This window comes from Homo sapiens, chromosome 13 (genome assembly GCF_000001405.40).
Source record: "Homo sapiens chromosome 13, GRCh38.p14 Primary Assembly".
In the NCBI taxonomy this organism is placed as follows: Eukaryota; Metazoa; Chordata; class Mammalia; order Primates; family Hominidae; genus Homo; species Homo sapiens.
Window position 1 is genome coordinate 108,595,806 of NC_000013.11, and position 21,091 is coordinate 108,616,896.

Sequence of the window (21,091 nt, forward strand, 5' to 3'; positions counted from 1 at the left end):
TGGCTACTTTGAGTGGTTTTACAGAAAAAAAGGAGTGCACGTGTCAGAGTTCAATGCAAATTCAGAAATTAAGTCCTTTTTTTTTTTTTTTTTTTTTTACCTTGAGCAGGCTAAGGCTTCCCTTTTAATTAAAGAGCTGCACTCCAGCTCTCCAGTCATAAAAGGACAGCAGCCAACCGCTGTGGGCTGAATTTGGGGCTGCCTTTGAGTCAGCCTGAGCTGATGTGTTTTCTGGAATGACTTTTTCTTTTTTGAAGTCGATCTACAGGAATCGGCCTCATCAGCTGTGTGTGTTGAGAGGTGGGGACGGGGGAGGGATGTGTCAGACTCTGAGCGTGGACCAGAACTGCGCTCGGAGACTTTCAGTGAAAGCAGAGGAGAGATTTCCAAAGGTTGTATTTTCCTTCTGGTTGGAGCCTCTCATCCACATTGTGGTAAGTGGGTCAGCTCTGGTTCACTCTTCCTTTTAGAAGAACAGGAGAAATCCATGCAGGATTAACTCTGCATTTTCCACAAGTGAATTTCAGTTCCCTTGTTTTAACTTTAAAATGTGCATATGTCAGTATCAAAACATTTTTCTTTGCTTTGGTTTTTGTTTCTGCTTTCTGATAGCTAGATTCAGCTCAGCCTAATTCAATCATTCTCTTTAAAATTTTAACTCTAATTAAAGCTAAAAAAAAAAGTCCAAATTCTGAAAGTCTTCGTGAGTGAAGAGGAAATATTGAAAAGTTTTGAAAGACAGACAAAAAAAGTGATTTTTTTCAGGTATAAATGCTTTAGCAAAGTCTTGTGTACAATTTAAGATTGAAGCTCATAATAGAAAATAGTATTTTTTCTTATTCAAGAGCACATACACATTCATTTTAAATGCCTGTATGGTATGTGTCATACAATTAAAACTGACACCTTTTTTTTACAATATGTGATGTGTTTTGCATATGTCATATTTTCACAAAACATAATGTACTTTTGGTAAAAACAGTGTATCTAGGTTGTCTGAATTTTTCAGCCTTGACACTTTATTTCTACGAAACAATCACTACCATTTGATAGAAGAAATAAAACCTAGTGTTAGCTAGATCAGCAGGGTGACTAAGGTTACAACAATCTGTACATTTCAAAACAGAAGAGCATAATTAAATGTTTCTAGCATACAGAAAAGACAAATTCTTAAAGTGATGGATCCTAAGTACGCTGATTTGGTTTGTAAAAGTTAGATGAATGTACTAAATTATCACATGTACCCTGAAACTATATACATCTATTATGCATCAATACAAATTGTTTAAGTTAAAAAATAACAGCCATCATTTATGAATGCTTCCTTTACTCAGATGTTAGTTCTTCATATGCGTTATTTCACTACATGCTTACAACAAACTCATGAGTTAGACATTTTTGTTACTCTCTTAAGATATATATTTATAGCAAAGTGATAAATACACATGGTGAAAATAAACCAAATGATACTGAAGGTTCATAAGGAAAACCTACAATCTCCCTGTAGCTATTCTTACCTAGTTTTGCACCCCAGAGCAAAACATTTAACTATTTATGTTAGCTTTGGGAGGATTTATCTCCAGATTCCTAAATAATATGTCAAGTCTGAAATTTTTTTTAGATGTTGTCTTATTGATATCCTGCTATTATGGATAGGGATTCAGCTCATCCTACACCACTCTCCATCTCCTATCACCCCATTGTGTTTAATATATACATGTAACTTTTAGTTTTTCTCCTGTCAGTCACCTTGGTAACTTCAAAAACCCTTAAGCCTATATTTGTTGTTCTATCAACTATAGACAGTATTTCTCAACTCATTTTATAAAATGCAATTGGTAGTTCTCCTGCCCTCTCCTGCCCTGCCGTTCCCCTCCACTTTCTAATTTCAGTCAGCCATGGTTTGCTTTTGATCAGCTTGAAACATACAAAATTGCCTGTGTGTGATTACCGGTGGTTTCATGCGGTCATGGTCAAGGTAAAGAACATTAGGTTGTGTTTCATAACCATTGTAAGGTCTTCTATATCTGTGGGATGGTTTCAAGATGGAAAACCAATTCATATTATTTATAATCTTGTAACTCTATATGTATGTTTAGAAACAGGGATACATAATAGAAAAAGATAACTTTTCCTACTTTACCAGCCCTTATTGCAAGTGAGAAGTTGCCTTAGAATAATTCTGCTTTTGAGTAGTCCACCATTCCCTATCCACGGCTGCTCCACTGCTGAAAATACCATTAGTACTGAAAAGGTGAATCACCAGCACCTTGGAGATAGCCGCTTTAGTGAGACATGTGGGAAAGGGGGCAGAGATCAATATCAGCGTTACTTTCATTTGTTTATTCCACAAATATTTATTGAGCACTGCCATGAGCCAGAGATTGTGCAACAGGGCACAGAATGAATCACACAGTGAATCTGATTCCGGCCTTCAAGTCGCTGACACTCTAGTGGTAGTAATTTGTGTGTGGCTTTCCATAAATAAACATTGTAGTGATAGAGAGAGAGAGAGACAGACAGACAGACAGAGAGACAACACTAAACTTCTCACCTCTAATACAGAAATAATAAAATTCTTATTTGTGTTAAGTGATCTGGAAGATTTTTTATTTCCATATTTTTAAGAATTAAATTCAAATGCATATAACAAACCAAAAGCAAATTGTCTTTCCATGGTAGAACAATATTTTTAAAGGTTGTTATTCAAGTGATAGGTTGACACTTTTTGTTTTGTTTGTATTTTAGCTGCTACTGACAAATATGAGTTGAAAGTGTCCACTTTCTGTTCCTGGACTTGCTACTTCATAGAAAAAATTGTTTCAATGGTGAAATAGGCAGGAATGAATAAGTACGTGTTGAATTCTTATGTGATTTGTAAGGATGAGTATGATCTCCTCTCGCACCATTTTTATTCATTGGAACATAAAACTGCTTCAATTGATATCAAGTGCAAGAAATCCATGTGTATGAACAACTGGAGTGCTGAACAAAATTACCTGTGGTTTATTTCTCCTTGTGTAGGTATTCTTTTTCTTTTTTTCTTTTTTTTTTATTATACTTTAAGTTTTAGGGTACATGTGCACAATGTGCCAGTTAGTTACATATGTATACATGTGCCATGCTGGTGTGCTGCACCCATTAACTCGTCATTTAGCATTAGGTATATCTCCTAATGCTATCCCTCCCCCCTCCCCCCACCCCATCCCCAGAGTGTGAAGTTCCCCTTCCTGTGTCCGTGTGTTCTCATTGTTCAATTCCAATCTATGAGTGAGAACATGTGTTGTTTGGTTTTTTGTCCTTGCGATAGTTTACTGAGAATGATGATTTCCAATTTCATCCATGTCCCTACAAAGGATATGAACTCATCATTTTTTATGGCTGCATAGTATTCCATGGTGTATATGTGCCACATTTTCTTAATCCAGTCTATCATTGTTGGACATTTGGGTTGGTTCCAAGTCTTTGCTATTGTGAATAGTGCCGCAATAAACATACATGTGCATGTGTCTTTATAGCAGCATGATTTATAGTCCTTTGGGTATATACCCAGTAATGGGATGGCTGGGTCGAATGGTGTTTCTAGTTCTAGATCCCTGAGGAATCGCCACACTGACTTCCACAATGGTTGAACTAGTTTACCGTCCCACTTGTGGTATTCTTTTTCATAAATACCTTGGGAAAACAAGGGTTGTGTTCACTCTAGGCTGTTACTTTGTAATTCAAGTATCAGTCATAGGTCACAGTCAGCTTATAGCTAAGAAGGATACGTACCATATAGAAGAGCATCTAGATCATAGCCCTCCATCCGTATGTTTGGAATCAGTGAAGAAGTAGAGCTATCTCAAATGCATTAAAAAAAATATCAAATGCCCGCTGTGAGGTTTCTGTGAATTCCCAGGGAGCTGAAAATTTTTATGATTCCTTTTGGCTCTAAATTACTCCTCCACCAATTACTATAATTTTCTGTCTGTCTCACAAAACTCACATGCTTTCCCAGTTTTGGGTTGAGAGAGTTCGGACATGAAATGAGGTCCTTTCTTTGTAGCCTTGTACAGGCATGGAAAGAAAAGTAAACAACAGAAAATCCATTCACAAAGGCCATTTGTGAGCATAGCAGATTTTATGTAAAGTTTGGGAAAATTTTCTTCAATTCCACGTCCAGTAATTTGGCCATCTATTTGCACAGTCATCCATTGTATTTTTAGACACACCCCCAGGACTTATTTGTACAAACAAAATTATTCAGCTGAAAAAAAGTCAGCAGTACTTCTCTAATTACTCCTATTTACCTAATCCTTGACTTTTTAAGATTACATTTTCTTGGACTCTGATTCTGATGCAAAACTTTTGCCAACACTGCCCTGAGAGAGTGTAAGGGTAGGGGGAAATTGATGAACAAAGGTTGTTCAAGAGTTTCTGATTATGTCAGACAAAACTGCTTTTGTACTTTGGCTCTGATATTTGCTGATCATTGGCATTGCTTAATTTGCTGAACTTCTCTCTAAGCTGCAGTCTTTTTGTATGAAATGTGGGTAATTATAACATTTTACCTACTACATAGAGCTGTGAGCATTGAAATAACACAATGCATCAAAGGTGCTTAGCATAGTGTCCAGTACCTTGTGAGAAGCCAATAACTTTCCTTTGTTAACATTGTATTATTAACGCTGCTACTGTTGACCGTTATACATTCAGAAGACTTTAAGTTCCATCAATCATCTTTAGAAATTTTTACTACTATAGAATTTACTACATTTAAAAATAGTTCCCTAGGAGAGAAGCAAAACTAAAAAACAAAAGGTAAATGGTGGGGAAAACCATACCCTAGAGCTAGTGTCATGGCTGAACTATTTTACTTTCTGTTAGAAATTCTAGGACTTTGAAGTGAAAATACTTTGAAACTTAGCAACCATGGTATGAACAAGAACACTATTTTTTCTTTCATTTTATGGTTGCTTTTGCAAAATGTAGTAAATGCAGCCCCTAACAGACCTGTTAGTGATAACGGTCTTGCCTTAAATGCCAACCTGTATTTATTTTACTACGGTTTTTTAAAAGTAAATAAGCTTTTCCAACTTTATATTTTCCAGCAGGTCTTATTGAAAATGGGCTTATTTTTATGCCACTTATCCTCATGAAGATTTTTTTTTAATTTTACAGAAAGAAATATGAAGAGAGAGAGAAAAAAGTAATCCCAGGTCCTTTTTACTTGAGGGCTTCTTGTGTGGCTTTGAACTCAGCAGGTAGGGTGTTTTGACCCATATAAAAGCCTTACAAAGGGACCACTTTTTTTGCGAGGTAGACAGAGATCACTGTGGATGTGTGCTTCATTCAGTGCATCGTTTCCCTTTGCAGATGTGTGTCCCATGGAGCACCGCAACTGAATTTTAAGCTTTCAAAAGTAACATCTAGTATTTGATGAATTTGGACTGTGTTGTGAGAAAGTGGAAAATTAGAGAGCTCCCTGAAACCTGTTAGAGAATTTCCTGTTATTTATTTTAGCTGTACACCACCAGCAGAGTAATTATTTGAACTTTCAGTAGGTTCCATCCCAATAGATATTTTTAAAAAATGAGAAGGAACATAATTTTAAATCACATATATATAAATTATATGCAGACGAAACAAAGGGGAAAACCAAATTAGTTCTTCTCTACTTAAAGAACTATGAATTATATGGTCATCTAAAATCCGATTGGGGACTAGACAGTTTATTTCTTTTTAAATATGACAATATAGTAATTTTTTTCAAGTGTCAAGATGATTCTAAATTCTTCCATGCAGGGTATATGAGGAGGCTGTGTCCAGAGAAGTTATAAGATAATCCTAGGGACCCAGAGGCTATGCACATTCACCTGCATCCCAGACCTTTGTCCCAACTTCCAACCCTGCCCTGAGCCTAGTCCTTCATATTTCTAGTCCTTGTATTTAGAATAAGGCAAGGTAGGCAGTGGGTGAACACTGCTGAGTGTTTGGTTATGTGACCTTTATGTTATCCTGAGGCAGTTCACCAAGACGTTCAGGAGCCTACATTTCCTCAGGCCTCTCAATTTGGGAGAGTGTGACTTTGAAATTGGTGCTCTCAATTCTTTCAACCTGCTGTGGACTGAATGTTTGTGACGCAACCAAATTCATATGTTGAACCGAAATCCCCAGTGTGGTCATATTAGGAGGCTGGGCCACGGGGTGGTGAGGAAGTCATAATGGTGGGGCCCTCATGATGAGATTAGTGCCCTTATAAGAAGACACACTAGAGTTTTCTCTCTCTCTCATTGTTATGTGAGGATATGATGAAAAAAAAAAAAAAAAAAAAACAGCCCAGGAAGAATTCCATCACTGGACACCAGGTCTGCCAGTGCCTTGATCCGGGACTTCCCAGCCTCACAACTCTGAGAAGTACATGTCTGTGATTTAAGCCATGTGGCCTCAGGCATTCTCTTTTAGGACCCTGAATGGACTGAGGCACCACCCACACAAGCATACAGCATTTCATCAGTTTTTATAAGATGTAGACCTCTTGCACCTTTGGTTCTTTGTAGGCTGTTTTTCCTTTCCTTAACTCTTGCCTCTCTGATGCACTCTTTGCTAGTCATTTTCTACGTAATTGCGATCTTGAACATGTGTAGATTTTTAAGATATTGGTAGGAGTTTTGAAGATGTTTTGACAGTAATTTAATTTCTTCTTCCAAGGGAATTTTTTGAAAATCAACATAGTCATAGAATATGTCACTAATAAATGAAAACATTAAAATGTAACCAAATATGGGGAAAAAAATCACATGGTATGTTGCAACTGTGGCCTAGAGTCTTGCTTTTGAGAAATCAATCTGTCTTGACTTTGAAATATTAAATAAAGGCTATGTTGGAAGTGGGTGGTTTGGTCCTGCAATATTCTGGACAATACTGAGGAATATTTTCACTCCAGAAAATAGTTCCATATTTGTAGAAGAATCTTCATTTTTAAACTACCACCAATGGAATCCATTTTCCATCTCTACTCCTGCAGCTTTCTCTTATTGACTAAAAAGTTTCTAATGAATTTGAGGCAAAACTAGAGAAAATATAACACTTGCTATGAAGTAGTGGAACAGGTATGGAAAAGCATATCCTGAATTGAGGGAACATTCCTGGAGAAAGAACCTGGAAAAATGTCCAGTTTCCATTTAAGCCCTGGTTAAGCAGTATGTGGTTTGGAAGTGAAATAATGAGCCTATTGAAAAGTATGTAATAAATGAGTATTTAGACTCAAAATCTAAAATGAATTATGAGGGATTTGCTCTTTGTTTTAAAAAATATATTCCAAAGGAATATTTTGAGATATCATGAAACACACATCTCGCCTAAAAACCAACTGAGAATTAGATTTGATGTGTGTCATGATTGTGTTGGAGATGAAGAGACAGAGGGAATGGTCAGTTTTGCTAATTAGGAAAATCCTGGACATGTTTACATCATCTTACAATGTTTTGATCAATCTTGGAGGCATTAAATTGACTACTTTTCCTAATAGAGATAGTGCATGTGTTCTGAATTGTTAATTGGCTCTAAAATTAGTTATAGTTTATTTCTAAATTGAACCAAAGTTGGGAAAAATTCATGGACTTAATATGAAATATGTTATTCATCAATTTCATATACAACTTTGGTTTTTTATGATTTTAGATGTTGAATCTTTGAAATAATATTTATATTATCTAATGATAACGTTTGATGTTTGGATAGTTCATTGTCTTTACATTTTAAATTTAAGCTACTTTTTTTTCTTTCAATTCATGTGATTAACTTCTTCGGATGAACTTGTTAATTTTCTCCTACTCTGAGTTCATTTGAATGGCTTATTTTGTCACTTATAGCACTATCTATATTTTGCTATATTTAGCAGTTTGGTGGCTATGATTGTACCAGGTTAAATGAACAAAGGCAGTTCAATAAATCATCCTGTTACAGCTGACACATATGCTTATGCTATTTGCCTGTCTCTCAGTCAAGCTTTAATAGATTACTCTTTTCCAAATCTTTTTTTCTTAAACACTAATTATCCTTGATCAATAACAAATACATTCAATAAATATATTGAGTGCCTGTATTAGTCTGCTATTACACTGCTACAAATAAATAGCTGAGACCAGGTAATATATAAAGAAAGATTTAATTGACTCACAGTTCTGCTTGGCTAGGGAGGCCTCAGGAAATTTATAATCATGGCATAAGGGGAAGCAAATATGTCCTTCTTCACAAGGCGGCAGGTGAGAGAAATGCAAAGCTAAGGAGGAAAAGCCCCTTCTAAAACCATCAGATCTTGTAAGAACTCACTCACTCTCACAAGAACAGCATGGGGAAACTACCCCCATGATTAATCACCCCCCATGAGGTCCCTCCCCCAAGAGTGGGGAACAATTTGGATTGCAATTTAAGATGAGATTTGGGTAGGGATACAGAGCCAGACTGTATCAGTGCCTATATTGTGTATAACCTAATGAGGCATACTAGGATATTTTGGTGAAAAAGACATCCCTGCACCAAGTAACTAAATCTGAAACTTCCTTTTGGGAAGGCCAGGCAAGGACTAAAATACTGAATGTAGTATTTGAAAAAAGAATGCAGTAGTAACACCAAGGAAATGAAGTAACATTTAGAGAAGTATAGATGAAAATCATAGTGAGTGAATGGGGCCATTTATTGCAATGGTGATAGCACAAAAGAACTAGCAGAATGACCAAACCAAAGTTGAAATGCTAGTGGAGAAATTCTTGACAACACTAGCTCAAATATTAACATTGAAGTTGATTTAAAGTTTTGAATTGTTGAAGTCATCTTTAATATATAAATTCAGGTCCTGGATTCTGAACTTTTCTATCATAAATGTTAGTGTAATCCTTGACTTTTTTTATTTTGATGAATATTCCTTTAGCTGATATTTATTTTACGGAAGGGTTTTAAATAAGCACTTACCAACTTAATTGCAACTGTGTTTCTGTTTTCCTCACTACGTTGTCAGCCTTAGAGAGCAGGTACAATGTCTGTTTTTCCACTTGTATACCTCTGCACAGTTCATGGTAATGGGTACCATATTATTGAGTAAATGGCTGGATGCATAGTTGGATGGATGGATTGGTGGTTGTCTAGCTGGATTAATGGATTTGGAATGTCCCAGCAGGATGATCCACTTTTGAAATATTCTATCCATGTGTAAACATTTCTACTTTTTCAGGAATTATCAGTGGAGTGTTCTGTGGGAAACAAACCATATCGGTAGTGGCAATGGGTTCTGATAATAAGCAAAGCCCTTGTATCCTTTATCATAGTCCTGTATCACAGTTATATGCTTGTTCAGTTTTATATGATCATTTCTTAAAGGACTGACTCTTAGACATAATGTGGACTCCTGTGAAAGAACTATATTTGAAAGCTAAATATAGCCATGAGTGCCAAAAATGTAATTAGCACTGCTTTTAAGGAGCCCATCTTAGTAATCTATCTTTGTTTATCTTACAGGAATACTCATCATCTGATTTGCTCCATGTGAAAAAAAATCCCTTCCAATGTCCAAGTATCCTGCAATGTTGCAGGGTACTGATATGGTCTGGCTCTGTGTCCCCACCCAAATCTCATCTTGCATTGGAATCCAAATTATAATCCCCACATGTTGGGTGAGGGTCCACGTGGGAAGTGATTGGATCATGAGGGCGGTTCCCCCATGCTGTTCTCATGATAGTGGGTGAGTTCTCATGAGACTGATGGTTTTATAAGGGGCTATTTCTCCTTCACTTTACACTTTTCTCACATGCCATCATGTGAAGAAGGACTTGTTTGCTTCCCCTTCTGCCATGATGGTAAGTTTCCTGAGGCCTCCCCAGCCATGCAGAACTGTGAGTTAATTAAACCTCTTTCCTTTATAAATTTCCCAGTTTGGGGTATTTCTTCATTGTATCATGAAAATGAACTAATACAGTAAATTGGTACCAGGGTAGTGGGGCGCTGCTATAAAGTTACCTGAAAATGTGGAAGTGACTTTGGAACTGGGTAATAGACAAAGGTTGAAACAGTTGTGAGGGCTCAGAAAAATACTGGAAGATGTGGAAAAGTTTGGAACTTCCTAGAGACTAGCTGAATTGTTCTGACCAAAATTCTGATAGTGATATGGACAATGAAGTCCAGGCTGAGGTAGTCTTAGATGCAGATGAGGAACTTCTTGGGAACTGGAGCAAAGGTCACTCTTGCTATGCTTTAGCAAGGAGACTGATGGCATTTTTCCCCTGCCCTAGAGATCTGTGGAACTTGAACTTGAGAGAGATTGTCTGAAATTGGCACTTATGTTTAAAAGGGAAGCAGAGCATAAAAGTTTGGAAAATTTGCAGCCTAATGTTGTGATAGAAAAGAAAAATCAATTTTCTGGAGAGAAATTCAAGTCTTCTGCATAAAGTTGCATAGGTAATGAGGAATCAAATGTTAATCACCAAGACAATGGGGAATTTGTCTCCAAGGCATGTCAGAGACCTTCTCAGCCGTTCTCATTATAGGCCCAGAGGCCTAGGAGGGAAAAATGGTTTTGTGTGTCAGCCTCAGGGCCCCCTTTCTCTGTGCAGTCTCAGGACATGGCACTAGGTGTCCCAGCTGCTTCAGCTCCAGCCATGGGTAAAGACCAAGGTACAGCTTGGGCCTTTGTTTTAGAGGGTGGAAGTCCCAAGCCTTGACAGCTTCTGCATGATATTTGTCCTCTGGGTACACGGAAGTCAAGAATTGAGGTTTGGGAACCTCCACCTTGCTTTCAGAGGATGTATGGAAATGCCTGGATATCCAGGTAGAAGTCTGCTGCAGGGGTGGAGCCCTCAGAGAACCTCTGCTAGGGCAGTGCGGAAGGGAAATATGGGGTTGGAGTCCCCACACAGAGTCCCCATTGGGGCACTGTCTAGTGGAGCTATGAGAAGAGGGCCACCATACTCCAGACCCCAGAATGGTAGATCCACCTACAGCTTGCACTGTGCACCTGAAAAAGCAACAGACACTCAGTGCCAGCCCATGAAAGCAGGGAGTGGAAGGGGTGAAGGGAGCTGTACCCTGCAAAGCTACAGGGGTGGAGCAGCCCAAGGCCATGGAAGCCTATCTCTTGCATAAGCATGACCTGCATGTGAGACATGGAGTCAAAGGAGATCGTTTTGTAACTTTAAAGTTTAATGATTACCCTGTTGGACTTTGGACTTTCATGGGGTCTGTAACCCCTTTGTTTTGGCCAACTTCTTCCATTGGAACTGGTGTACTTACCCAATGCCTGTATCCCCATGGTATCTAGGAAGTAATTAACTTGCTTTTGGTTTTACAGGCTCATAGGAGGAAGGGACTTGCCTTGTCTTGGATAAGACTGTGGACTTGGACTTTGGGTTAATGCTGGAAACAGTTTAAACTTTGGGGAACTGTTGGGAAAGCATAACTGTGTTTTGAAACGTGAGAAATATGAGATTTGGGAGGAGCCAGGAGTGGAATCATATGGTCTGGCTATGTGTCCCCACCCAAATCTCATCTTGAATTTTAACCTGGATTGTAATCCCTACGTGTTGGGGGAGGGACCATGTGGGAGGTGATTAGATCATGGGGGTGGTTCCCCTATGCAGTTCTCATGACAGTGAGTGAATTATGAGATCTGATGATTTTATAAGGGGCTTTTCCTGCTTCTTTTAGCACTTCTCCTGTGCCATATGAAGAAGGACATGTTTCCTTCCCCTTCTGCCATCATTGTACATTTCCTGAGGCCTCCCTAGCCATGCACAACTCTGTGTCAATTAAACCTCTTTCCTTTATAAATTACCCAGTCTTGGGTATGTCTTCATAGCAGCAGGAAAATAAACTAATACAGTAAATAACAAACTAATACATGTACTTGCTCCCAGACTCTTAGAGGGGTAGTGTTGGTATAGAAAGAATGGAACCCCGACACCTCCACTGCCTCTTGTGGAGCTTTTTGGGACTGAACTCAATGTGCTCACACTTTCTCCAAAGCCAGCCAATAACACAAGGGAGCTACGTGCCCTGTCACCCTCTACAGTCCTTCCAGCTGCCATGCTTCTGCTAAACCTTAACTACTGGTTGTTCTCTTAGGGTTTCACCCCTCTCTTCTCTCTTGTTCCTGTTCTCTGATCCTACAGTGCTCTCTCTCAGCTCAATCTCAGCATGTCTAAAAACTGCCCATTTTAAAAATAGGCAGTGTAAACATCATCAAGCTTCCCTTGATTTTCTCAGCTAGTTGGGATCTCTTTCCTACAGCACTTTGTAATTCTAACGATCGATAATTATCACTTTCAGTTTTGCAGATTTCTGGAAACTCTGATTTTAGTTTCCGTCACTGTTTTGGAAGCTTCACATGATCATTTTAGTCGTGCACATAGGCCTAGGGCGGCATCTAAATGTGACCTTTACTGCATGCATCAGGGCCTGTTATCCAGCCTTTGTAGCTCCTGGTGGCATGGCTTCTGCCTTTGCCCTGCTCCCCTGTAGCTATGTGGGTGTTTTCTTGGTTCCTCTGCTAATAATTTGCCATTATATACGAGTGACCCATGCTGCACGCTCTGCCTAGGAGCCTTCCCCAACTAATGCTGATTCATCATGCACACCTTGTCTTAAAGCTTTCTCATCGGACCTAGCCAGAACCCTTCCTTGCACCCCACAGCTAAATTACACCATTCCTGTTCTTCTCTTTCATCTTAACCTATTCCTGACTTTCATGGTATTTTTCACAATTGCTATATGTATGTTAAACATAATAAATACACACACGCATACATATACACATACATAAATACATATATATCAGTGCAGAAACAAATATCTGAACCCACTTACCCACAAATGATTTTTTTTTTGAGACAGTCCTGCTCTGTCACCCAGGCTAGAGTGTGGTGGCACGATCTCAGCTCACTGCAACCTCCGCCTCCAGGGTTAAAGTGATTCTCCTGCCTTGGCCTCCCGAATAGCTAGAATTACAGGCATGCACCACCATGCCCAGCTAATTTTTTGTGTTTTTAGTAAAGACAGGGTTTCACCATGTTGGCCAGGTTGGTCCCAAACACCCGACCTCAGGGGATCCACCTGCCTCAGCCTCCCAAAGTGCAGGGATTATAGGTGTGAGCTACCCCACGATGAGATTTTTGAAAGTAAATCCTTGTAACCAAAATCAATGTAAAAAAATTTTTTAATCTTTATTTTTTGAAGGACATTGAAAGGTACTCAATGGTGACCCCAGCAACACTCTTCACAATCTCTCTTCCTCACTGCCTTATTTTCCATAGGCAGGTTCAGCTCCTCTCACTGGCCGACAACTCAAGCCTGTCTGCAGGCCAGCCCAGGAAACGATGGAGTCCCTGGAAGTTTCCTCCTCATTCTTCTCATGGCCTTCTCCTGTGCTTTCTCCTTGATCTGCCCAGCCCTTCTTCTTATTCTGTATCACACACAGCTGGGGCTGCAGGCTTTGCACTGGGGAGAAAGGGCTAGAAATGGGTGCAAAGACAAAGGGGGCTTCGGAAAAAGGGAAGACAGTGGGAGTGCTCTGGGCCACCACGGTTCCTTAACGCTTAGCCTTTCTCTAGACTGTGAATCCCATGAGGGCAGGGCCCAGGTCTGTTCTGCTCACGGCACATACACCAGCGAGGTGCCTGGCCCCAAACAGGTGCTCAATGCTATCAGCCAAGTGAATGAATGAAGGAACAATTTTGAAGTCATTAAGCTGATGAGTAAATGTAGTACTGAACAAAAGACACTAGAGGGAGATCAGAGAAGGACTTCAGCAACATGAGCACAGCAGAAGCCAAGATTCAGCCGCATTTGATAGCGTGGAAATTTCATTTCTGCTTCTTTGTCTTCAATTTAAAAAATTTTAAAAATAAAATAAAAGTGAATTTTATACAGAGATTTATTTATTTATTTATCTGAACTGAATCCGACACTAATCCTTTCTGTTTTTAATATAGGTCATGATGGCCCTACCATTTGTAGAATAATGTTAAGACTGTAGATAGACATTCTAAAACGATAGTTATTTGAGTAAAAGCCTCATGGAATGGCCCTGCATAAAGAGATTGGCTAGAAGGAACACCACTACAGTCATCTGAAAGGATGAATCATGGACACTTGAAAGAGTGCTGGGGAGGAAAACACTGGGCCCAAAAGGAAATTGTCAGACCGTCCTGACAATTTCATAAAGTATATAAGAGAAACAGGAAATTATTTAGGAACAAACAGAATAAAGTTCATGTGAAGCTCTGGGACTGACTGAGTGTTACACCTGAAACGGGTATCCAGGCTTACTCTTTCTTCAACCTTGACAATCCCCTCTCTAGACATTGTTTGTCCATCTGTAAAATGGACTAACAGTAGTACAGAGTTTGTAGGATGAGGAGGTGGCAAGGATTAAAGGAGAGAGTGCACATAAGGACTAACACAGGGACTGGACCAGCACACACATAGTCAGAATGTACTGTGTGTGCTCCGTCGATGCCTTTCCATGAAATTGATTAAGTTTACTAATATTTGCCTGCCTCAGCCATTTCCTCTCTTGGGCTCTTTTTTAATGATTACGCTGCACTAGACATTTTTTCTTGTACTGTACTTCAAAATATTTGGGACCTGGAGCGCTTTGTGGGCAAAAGTACTCTTCTCTTATTGTTGAAATCCTCCTGTGTGTTGGTTCATCTGGAGAAATAGAAAGACAAGGCCCCTGCCCTTGTTTATGAAGAAGCATAGAGCACAGTGCTACTCTAAAATCATTTCAAATTGCATGCATAGGTGCTGATGGAAGCGTGCGATGTCGAAGTTATACAAGCATTTTAAGTTCAGCCACATTCACGCTGCCATTTATAGTAAATCCTCCTTCTTATATTTGCTTTATTCTTGGCTGCAGTATTGCTGGATCTGGCAGAGACTCTGATAAGCAAATGGCCAAGAGCTATCTTGACAAGGAAGAGGTGACCTTGAGGCAGAAGAGAGGAGGAGAGCTGAGAGAAACAAGTAGATAGAATTGCAGAATGGTTGAAAAGAAAAAAAAGGAGCTTTTGCCTTTACTTTCAGCTTGTCTGTGTTAGTGCTCTTTTTCCTCTGGATAGATAAGTCTACCGGAAGTTCATTTCCAGATGCTTCAGTAAAAAATTAAGTTGACTCATAGTAATAAAAGAGATGACAGGAAAGTCTTCAGTGGGTGCAAAAGCCATCATGATTTGAATGATGAATTCTTATATGAACTTTAAAAATTAAAGATATCCATTAGGTATCACATATATCATTTTGAAAATGATGTGTATTCTGCCTAAATTTGAAAGAGGTGAGGTATCACTTCAAAGATTTGAGTCCACGTAATTTAGCTTTCCATAAATAAGAGTAAATCAACATAAAATATAAAGAGACAATGGCATAGTAAGATCTTACAGCCTTTTAGTTTTAAAGACCTGGGTGGTGGATCTGCTCTATTGTTTTCAGTTGTGTTACATCACAATAAAAAGAGAAAAAAAGGACCTTAAAAAATGAATCAAATTAATCATTTTAAAAAGTTCTAAATTGGAAGTCACACTGAAACAAATGAAAAAGGAATTAATTTGGAACTACTAGAAAAATAACATGTAGCCAGTATTGGATTCAATTCAATTTCAAATCAGAACAACTTTTATGTTTTACCATCTGCCTCACCAAGAGCCTTATAAAATTTGAACACTACAGTCTTTAGAGATTCACATATGAGGAAAGCTTTTTAAAGACCATTTGATGAATATAAAACCAGAATAAATAATGTTGGTTCTTGTCCATAAATAGAGTTAGTAATTAGTGATTACTAAAAAGATAAGTCACATCTGTCATATCATGGGCTCAGATATTCCATTTGAACTTCTGCCCTCTACACAGTCCCACAGTAGTCCAGTTTAATGGTCTTCTGACCCAGGGTAGGTAAGCAAGTTGAGACTCAGAGAAGATAAGCTAGGGTACTGTGCTCCTCCAACTTGTAAATTGAAAAAAAAAATGGAATTGAAGCTATGGCTCTAAACTGTTGGATTTAGGCATAATACTTATTTTTAAAAATAGGCAAGGAGCATGAAACAGAAACAACTTATTTCTGCAAAATGCTTGTGTTCCAGTTGTGTATTGAGATGAGCTAGATAGAAGGCAGGTAATATTCTTTTTTTTTTTTTCTTTTTTTTTTTTTTTTTTTTTGAGACGGAGTCTCGCTCTGTCGCCCAGGCTGGAAGGCAGGTAATATTCTGATAAAGTAGACTCTTTACTTTCTTCACATATATATGCATGCATGTGCATATTTGTAGAGACTTGAATCGCTTGTTGGCTTTACTTTATGGATAAGATATGAACATTTTATTTGCCCATTTAGTTGACTCTTCTGCAGCTCCTCTGGACATACACTGTAACATATGTGCCTTTACAGTCCTGTGTCTTGCATGTTGCCTGCTTAATGAGTTAGTGAATGCTTAAGGAAAGGAATCCTTAACAAGGAAAAAGGAAAAAGAGAGACAAGATGCTAATACTAGAAAAAAAGTAATAATATCATTGAATCAAAGTTTTACCAAAGCTAATCATTTTAAGAAAATATAAGATTCTACAGGAGACAGGATGCTTAGGTGGTAGACACTAATAAGACAAATCCAGCTACTGTCTGCACAGTCTTGACAGAAATGCCTTCAGGTTTAAAAATACTAAATCACTAACTGTTTATTGATTTAACATTTAACATGTGCCAAGTACTCTGACTGGGTTAAAATGTCAAACAAGACATGGTCCTTGCCCAAATGGAGTTCACAGGAAACACTCGAGGAAATAAATAAATGGACTATAAAGTGACAGGTGCTGAGATAGTCCCTGCACTACACAAAGGGAGGCTCAGAGGAAGGGGCACCATCTATCAGGGTGGGGTTGGGAGGGGTAGGCTCTGACTTTTGACAACCCATTCCCATTACCTCCTTTCAGACCGTGAGAAAGGTAACTCTTCAAGAGTGATACCTAGTTTACATTCTTGCTACCCTGTTAATAGAGCCTGCCTTCCCTGCTAAATGAGAAAATAAACCAAGAAAATTATTTCAAGAACTAGGTCTTGAAATTAAACCAGTATGCAACTCGGGGAGATGTAGCCAGGTTAAGAAGAAGGGGTTATTCCAACACAAAGACTCTGAAACAAGAAATAGCACTTCATGTTTGAAGACGATATAGTGTTTAGGGAGTGGAGCTGAGATGAGAGAGACAAAAAGTAAAGCTAAGTGTACTTGTAAAATAAAGTTTATGGCTTGGAAAGATGGGATTGATTATGGCAACACTTTAAGGTCAAGAAAACAAATTGGGCACGTTGTCTTAAGAGGGCTAAAGTTTAATTAAATTTGATTAAAATATAAAAAAGAATTGATTTCAGCATTTTCTGAATATGGTAGGGCTCATTTGTGTGTCTGGGAAATCTACATAATCTTTCTGGATTTGACATTCTGTCTGCCTGTAAAAACATTGGAAATATGTAAATGACTGATTGTGTCTAAATGTGTCCTCAATTCTGGATATGCTGAAGACATTCTAAAATTTATCTTTACTTGTCTCCTCTTTTTATTTCTTGATATCTAGTTAGGTAACATGCCCTCCTGGTTATGTTCATGGAAGTTATCCTTTTATGTGTAAGAAGCCACCTTCAAAACTTAGTGTCATAATAGATGAAGAAGGAACACTTCCCAATCACTCTATGCAGCCAGAATGCCCTTATCCCCAAACCAAAGACATTCCATAGAAACTCCAGACAAAAGTCCCTTATGAATATAAAAAGCAAAGTATTCAACAAAATGCTAGCAAACCCTATGCAGAAACATATAGAAAGATTTATTCACTATGACCAAGTTGGACTTATCCCAGGAGTATCAGGTTGGTCCAAGACATGAAAATCACTGAATATAATATATCATATTAACAGGCAAAGTATTACAAAAGACAAATTAATAGGTAAAGTAACACAAAAGCCAAATGATCGTCACAGTAGACTCAGAAAAATCACTTGACAAAATATAACTCCCTTTTATGATAAAAACACTCAGTAAATGAGAAACAGAAAGATGCTTCCTGAACCTAATAGAAGTTTATTCCTAAGATGAGGAACAAGACAATACTCTCTGCTCTCAACACTTCAATTCCATAATGTACTGAATGTTCTAGCCAGGGCACTTACATAACAAAATGAAATAAAAGTAATTCAGATTAAAAAATGAGAAGCAAAATTATCTATTCTTAGACAACATGATCTTGCATATAGAAAATTGTAAGAAATCCATATAAAATGTAGAACCAATAAATGAGTTCTGAATGTTTACAGGATACAATATCCACAAACAAAAATCCATTGTGTTTCTACAAACCAGCAATGAACAACTTAAAAATGAACTTACAAAAACAATTCTAAATACAAATAGCATCAAAAAGAACAAAGTGCTTAGGGATAAATTAACAGAACAAGTGCATGATTTGTACATTTAAAACTATGAACTATTGTTGAGAGAAATTAAAGAAGCCCTCAAAGGGAAAGGCATTCTTTTCCATGGATTGAAAGACATTATATTGGAAAGATGGCAATGCTCCCCCAAAGTGGCCTACAGATAAAATGCAATCCCTATTAAAACTATAGCTGGACTTTTTGCAGAAATTGACAATCTGACCTTAGAATTAACACATAAATGCAAGATATCCAGATAACTAAAAACTATCTTTAAAATGAAAACAAAATTATAAGACTGACATATCCCAATTACAAAATTACTACAAAGCTACAAAATAATCAAAACAATGTGATACTGGCATAAGGCTGGATATATAAATCAATGAGATATAATTAAGAGTCCAGAAATAAACACTTATATTTATGATCAATCAATTTTGACAACAGTGCCAAGACTATTCTATGGGAAGAGTCTATTCAACAAATGTTGCTGAAACAACGGAATATCCATATGCAAAAGAATGAACTTGGACCCATACTTCATACCATATACACAAATTAACAAAAAAATAGACCATGGAACTAAATGCAGTGGCTACAGTTTTTAAATTCTTAAAACACAGGAGTAAATTTTTGTGACCTTGGATTAGGCAATGGTTTCTTAGATATCATGCCAAAATCACAGTGACAAAAATGGTAATTTGAGCTACATTAAAATTGATAATTATTATGTTTTATAGGTCATCATCAGAGCAGTGAAAACACAACACATAGAATGGGAGAAAACATTCAAAAATTTTATATCTGATATAGGACTTTTTTCTAAAATATTTAAAGTGACTCTTGCAATATAACAATAAAAAGACAACCCAATAATAAAGGGTAAAGGACGTGAATCATATGTTTCCAAACAACATAAACAATTGATCAATAAGGAGAGAAAAAGATGATCCAAATCATTAGTAATTAAGAAAATGCAAATCAAACCTACAATGAGATAAACTTCATACCCATAACTGGCTAAAATAAAACGTCAATCAGACAATAACAAGTGCTGACAAGGATATGAAGAAATTGAAACCCTAATACACTGGTAGTAGAATTGTAAAATAGTATGCCCTCTTTGGAAAAATTTGGCAGTTCTGCGAAATTTTTAATGTAGTGTTATCACGTGATCCAGAATTCTACTCCTATGTATAGACCCAGGAGAACTGAAAACATATGTCCACACAAAAACCTGAACATGAATGAATATTCATAGCATTCTTCACAATAGCAAAAGAGCTAGAAACAACCTAAGTGTCCATCTACTGAAAGAAACAAACAAAATGTGGTATACCCATTGCAATTGAGTATTATTCAATATAAAAAGGAAGGACATATTGATCCATGCTGTCAGATATATAAACCATGAAAATATGCTAAGTGAAAAAAGTTAGACACAAAAGGCCACATATGGTATAACCTCATTTGTACGAAATGTCCAGAATTGGTAAATCCCAGAAACAGAAAGCAGATTAATGATTTCCAGAGGCCTTCAGATTGTTCTGGGTTTTGTTTCCAAACTAGCTCATCTACAACTGTCTACCTCCATACTAAACAATCCATTAGTATAAAAGTGAAATACGCATATTTTTCTTTCCTGACCTGTTTATACCATTCTGTATTGTGAATTTTCTTACCCACCTTCCTTTCTCTGCACAAATGCAGTCCCTTATATCCTGAAGTAGAACACATCACTCTGTCTTCACTGCTCCCATGGCACTGCATAAACACTTTGATTTGGCATAAACACTTATGTTTACATGTGGCTGATGATTTTCACAAGTGCCCTCCTTCCTCCAGGAAACTATAAGTTACTTGAGAGTGGGACACATGCATTTTTCTTCATTATCTTATCCAAGTCAACTTTTATGAAAACATTTTGTACACACTAGTCTTTCTATAACTAGTTTTTAAATTGAATATTTGAAGAGTAGCATTTTCAAGTAAAAATGTATATACAGTAGACATTAAGGAGAAAACATGTTCACTTTCTTTGTATTTTGTGCCTAAGTACAAAACAAGTTAAGACTCTTTCAGAGCGAAATGCAATGTTCTGAGTAAGCGCAATCCCCGGTTTTCCTGGGGATTCGAATTCCTTCACCATCGTAGTCTATGCTTGAAATCATCGAGAGAACTGTGGATGGTATCAACTCCATATTCTCTTTTAGCTCTTCCTCGGCCGTTTAGTGATGGGTCATATGATGATGACTTGGGAACTGAACCATGGGCAGTAATCCTTTTTCCCTTGTTCGTGTATAAACCACGCTGCCGGTGAATTAAGCTGAAGATTTCTCTCTGTGCCCTTGAAATGTGCTCCTAGGGAATTAAGGCATTCTTGGTCTGGAATTTGAATTCCTTCCTTACTGCTCTAAGTGCATTAAATGTTGCAGTATTTTAGAAACTACTTATTGTTTTAAGAAGGTTGTTAGAATCCATCAGTAAGTCAAAGCAGTACAAAAGTGTAGAAAGAAAGGAATTGTTAGGACCTATTCATTTATCTCCCTACGTCTTAATTGAATATGAAAAGAGGAAAAGGTCAGAGGAAAGATAAAGTATTGTGTACATTGTCCACACTGTAACAAAAGTGATCTGCTTGAA

General features: G+C 37.7%; 1 protein-coding gene across 3 annotated transcripts in view; it reads left to right on the top strand.

The window, feature by feature from the left end:
• The window catches only part of MYO16 (myosin XVI), a 712,290-nt gene that overhangs the window by 100,090 nt on the left and 591,109 nt on the right, over positions 1–21,091 (top strand). The window contains exon 1 of one of the 3 annotated variants that reach the window (NM_015011.3): positions 100–434. The exons of the other annotated variants lie outside the window; for them this stretch is intronic. The gene's annotated coding sequence lies outside the window, so the exon portion shown is untranslated. Of the gene's footprint in view, positions 1–99; positions 435–21,091 lie in introns of those variants that run through there. 3 annotated transcript variants of the gene reach the window in all.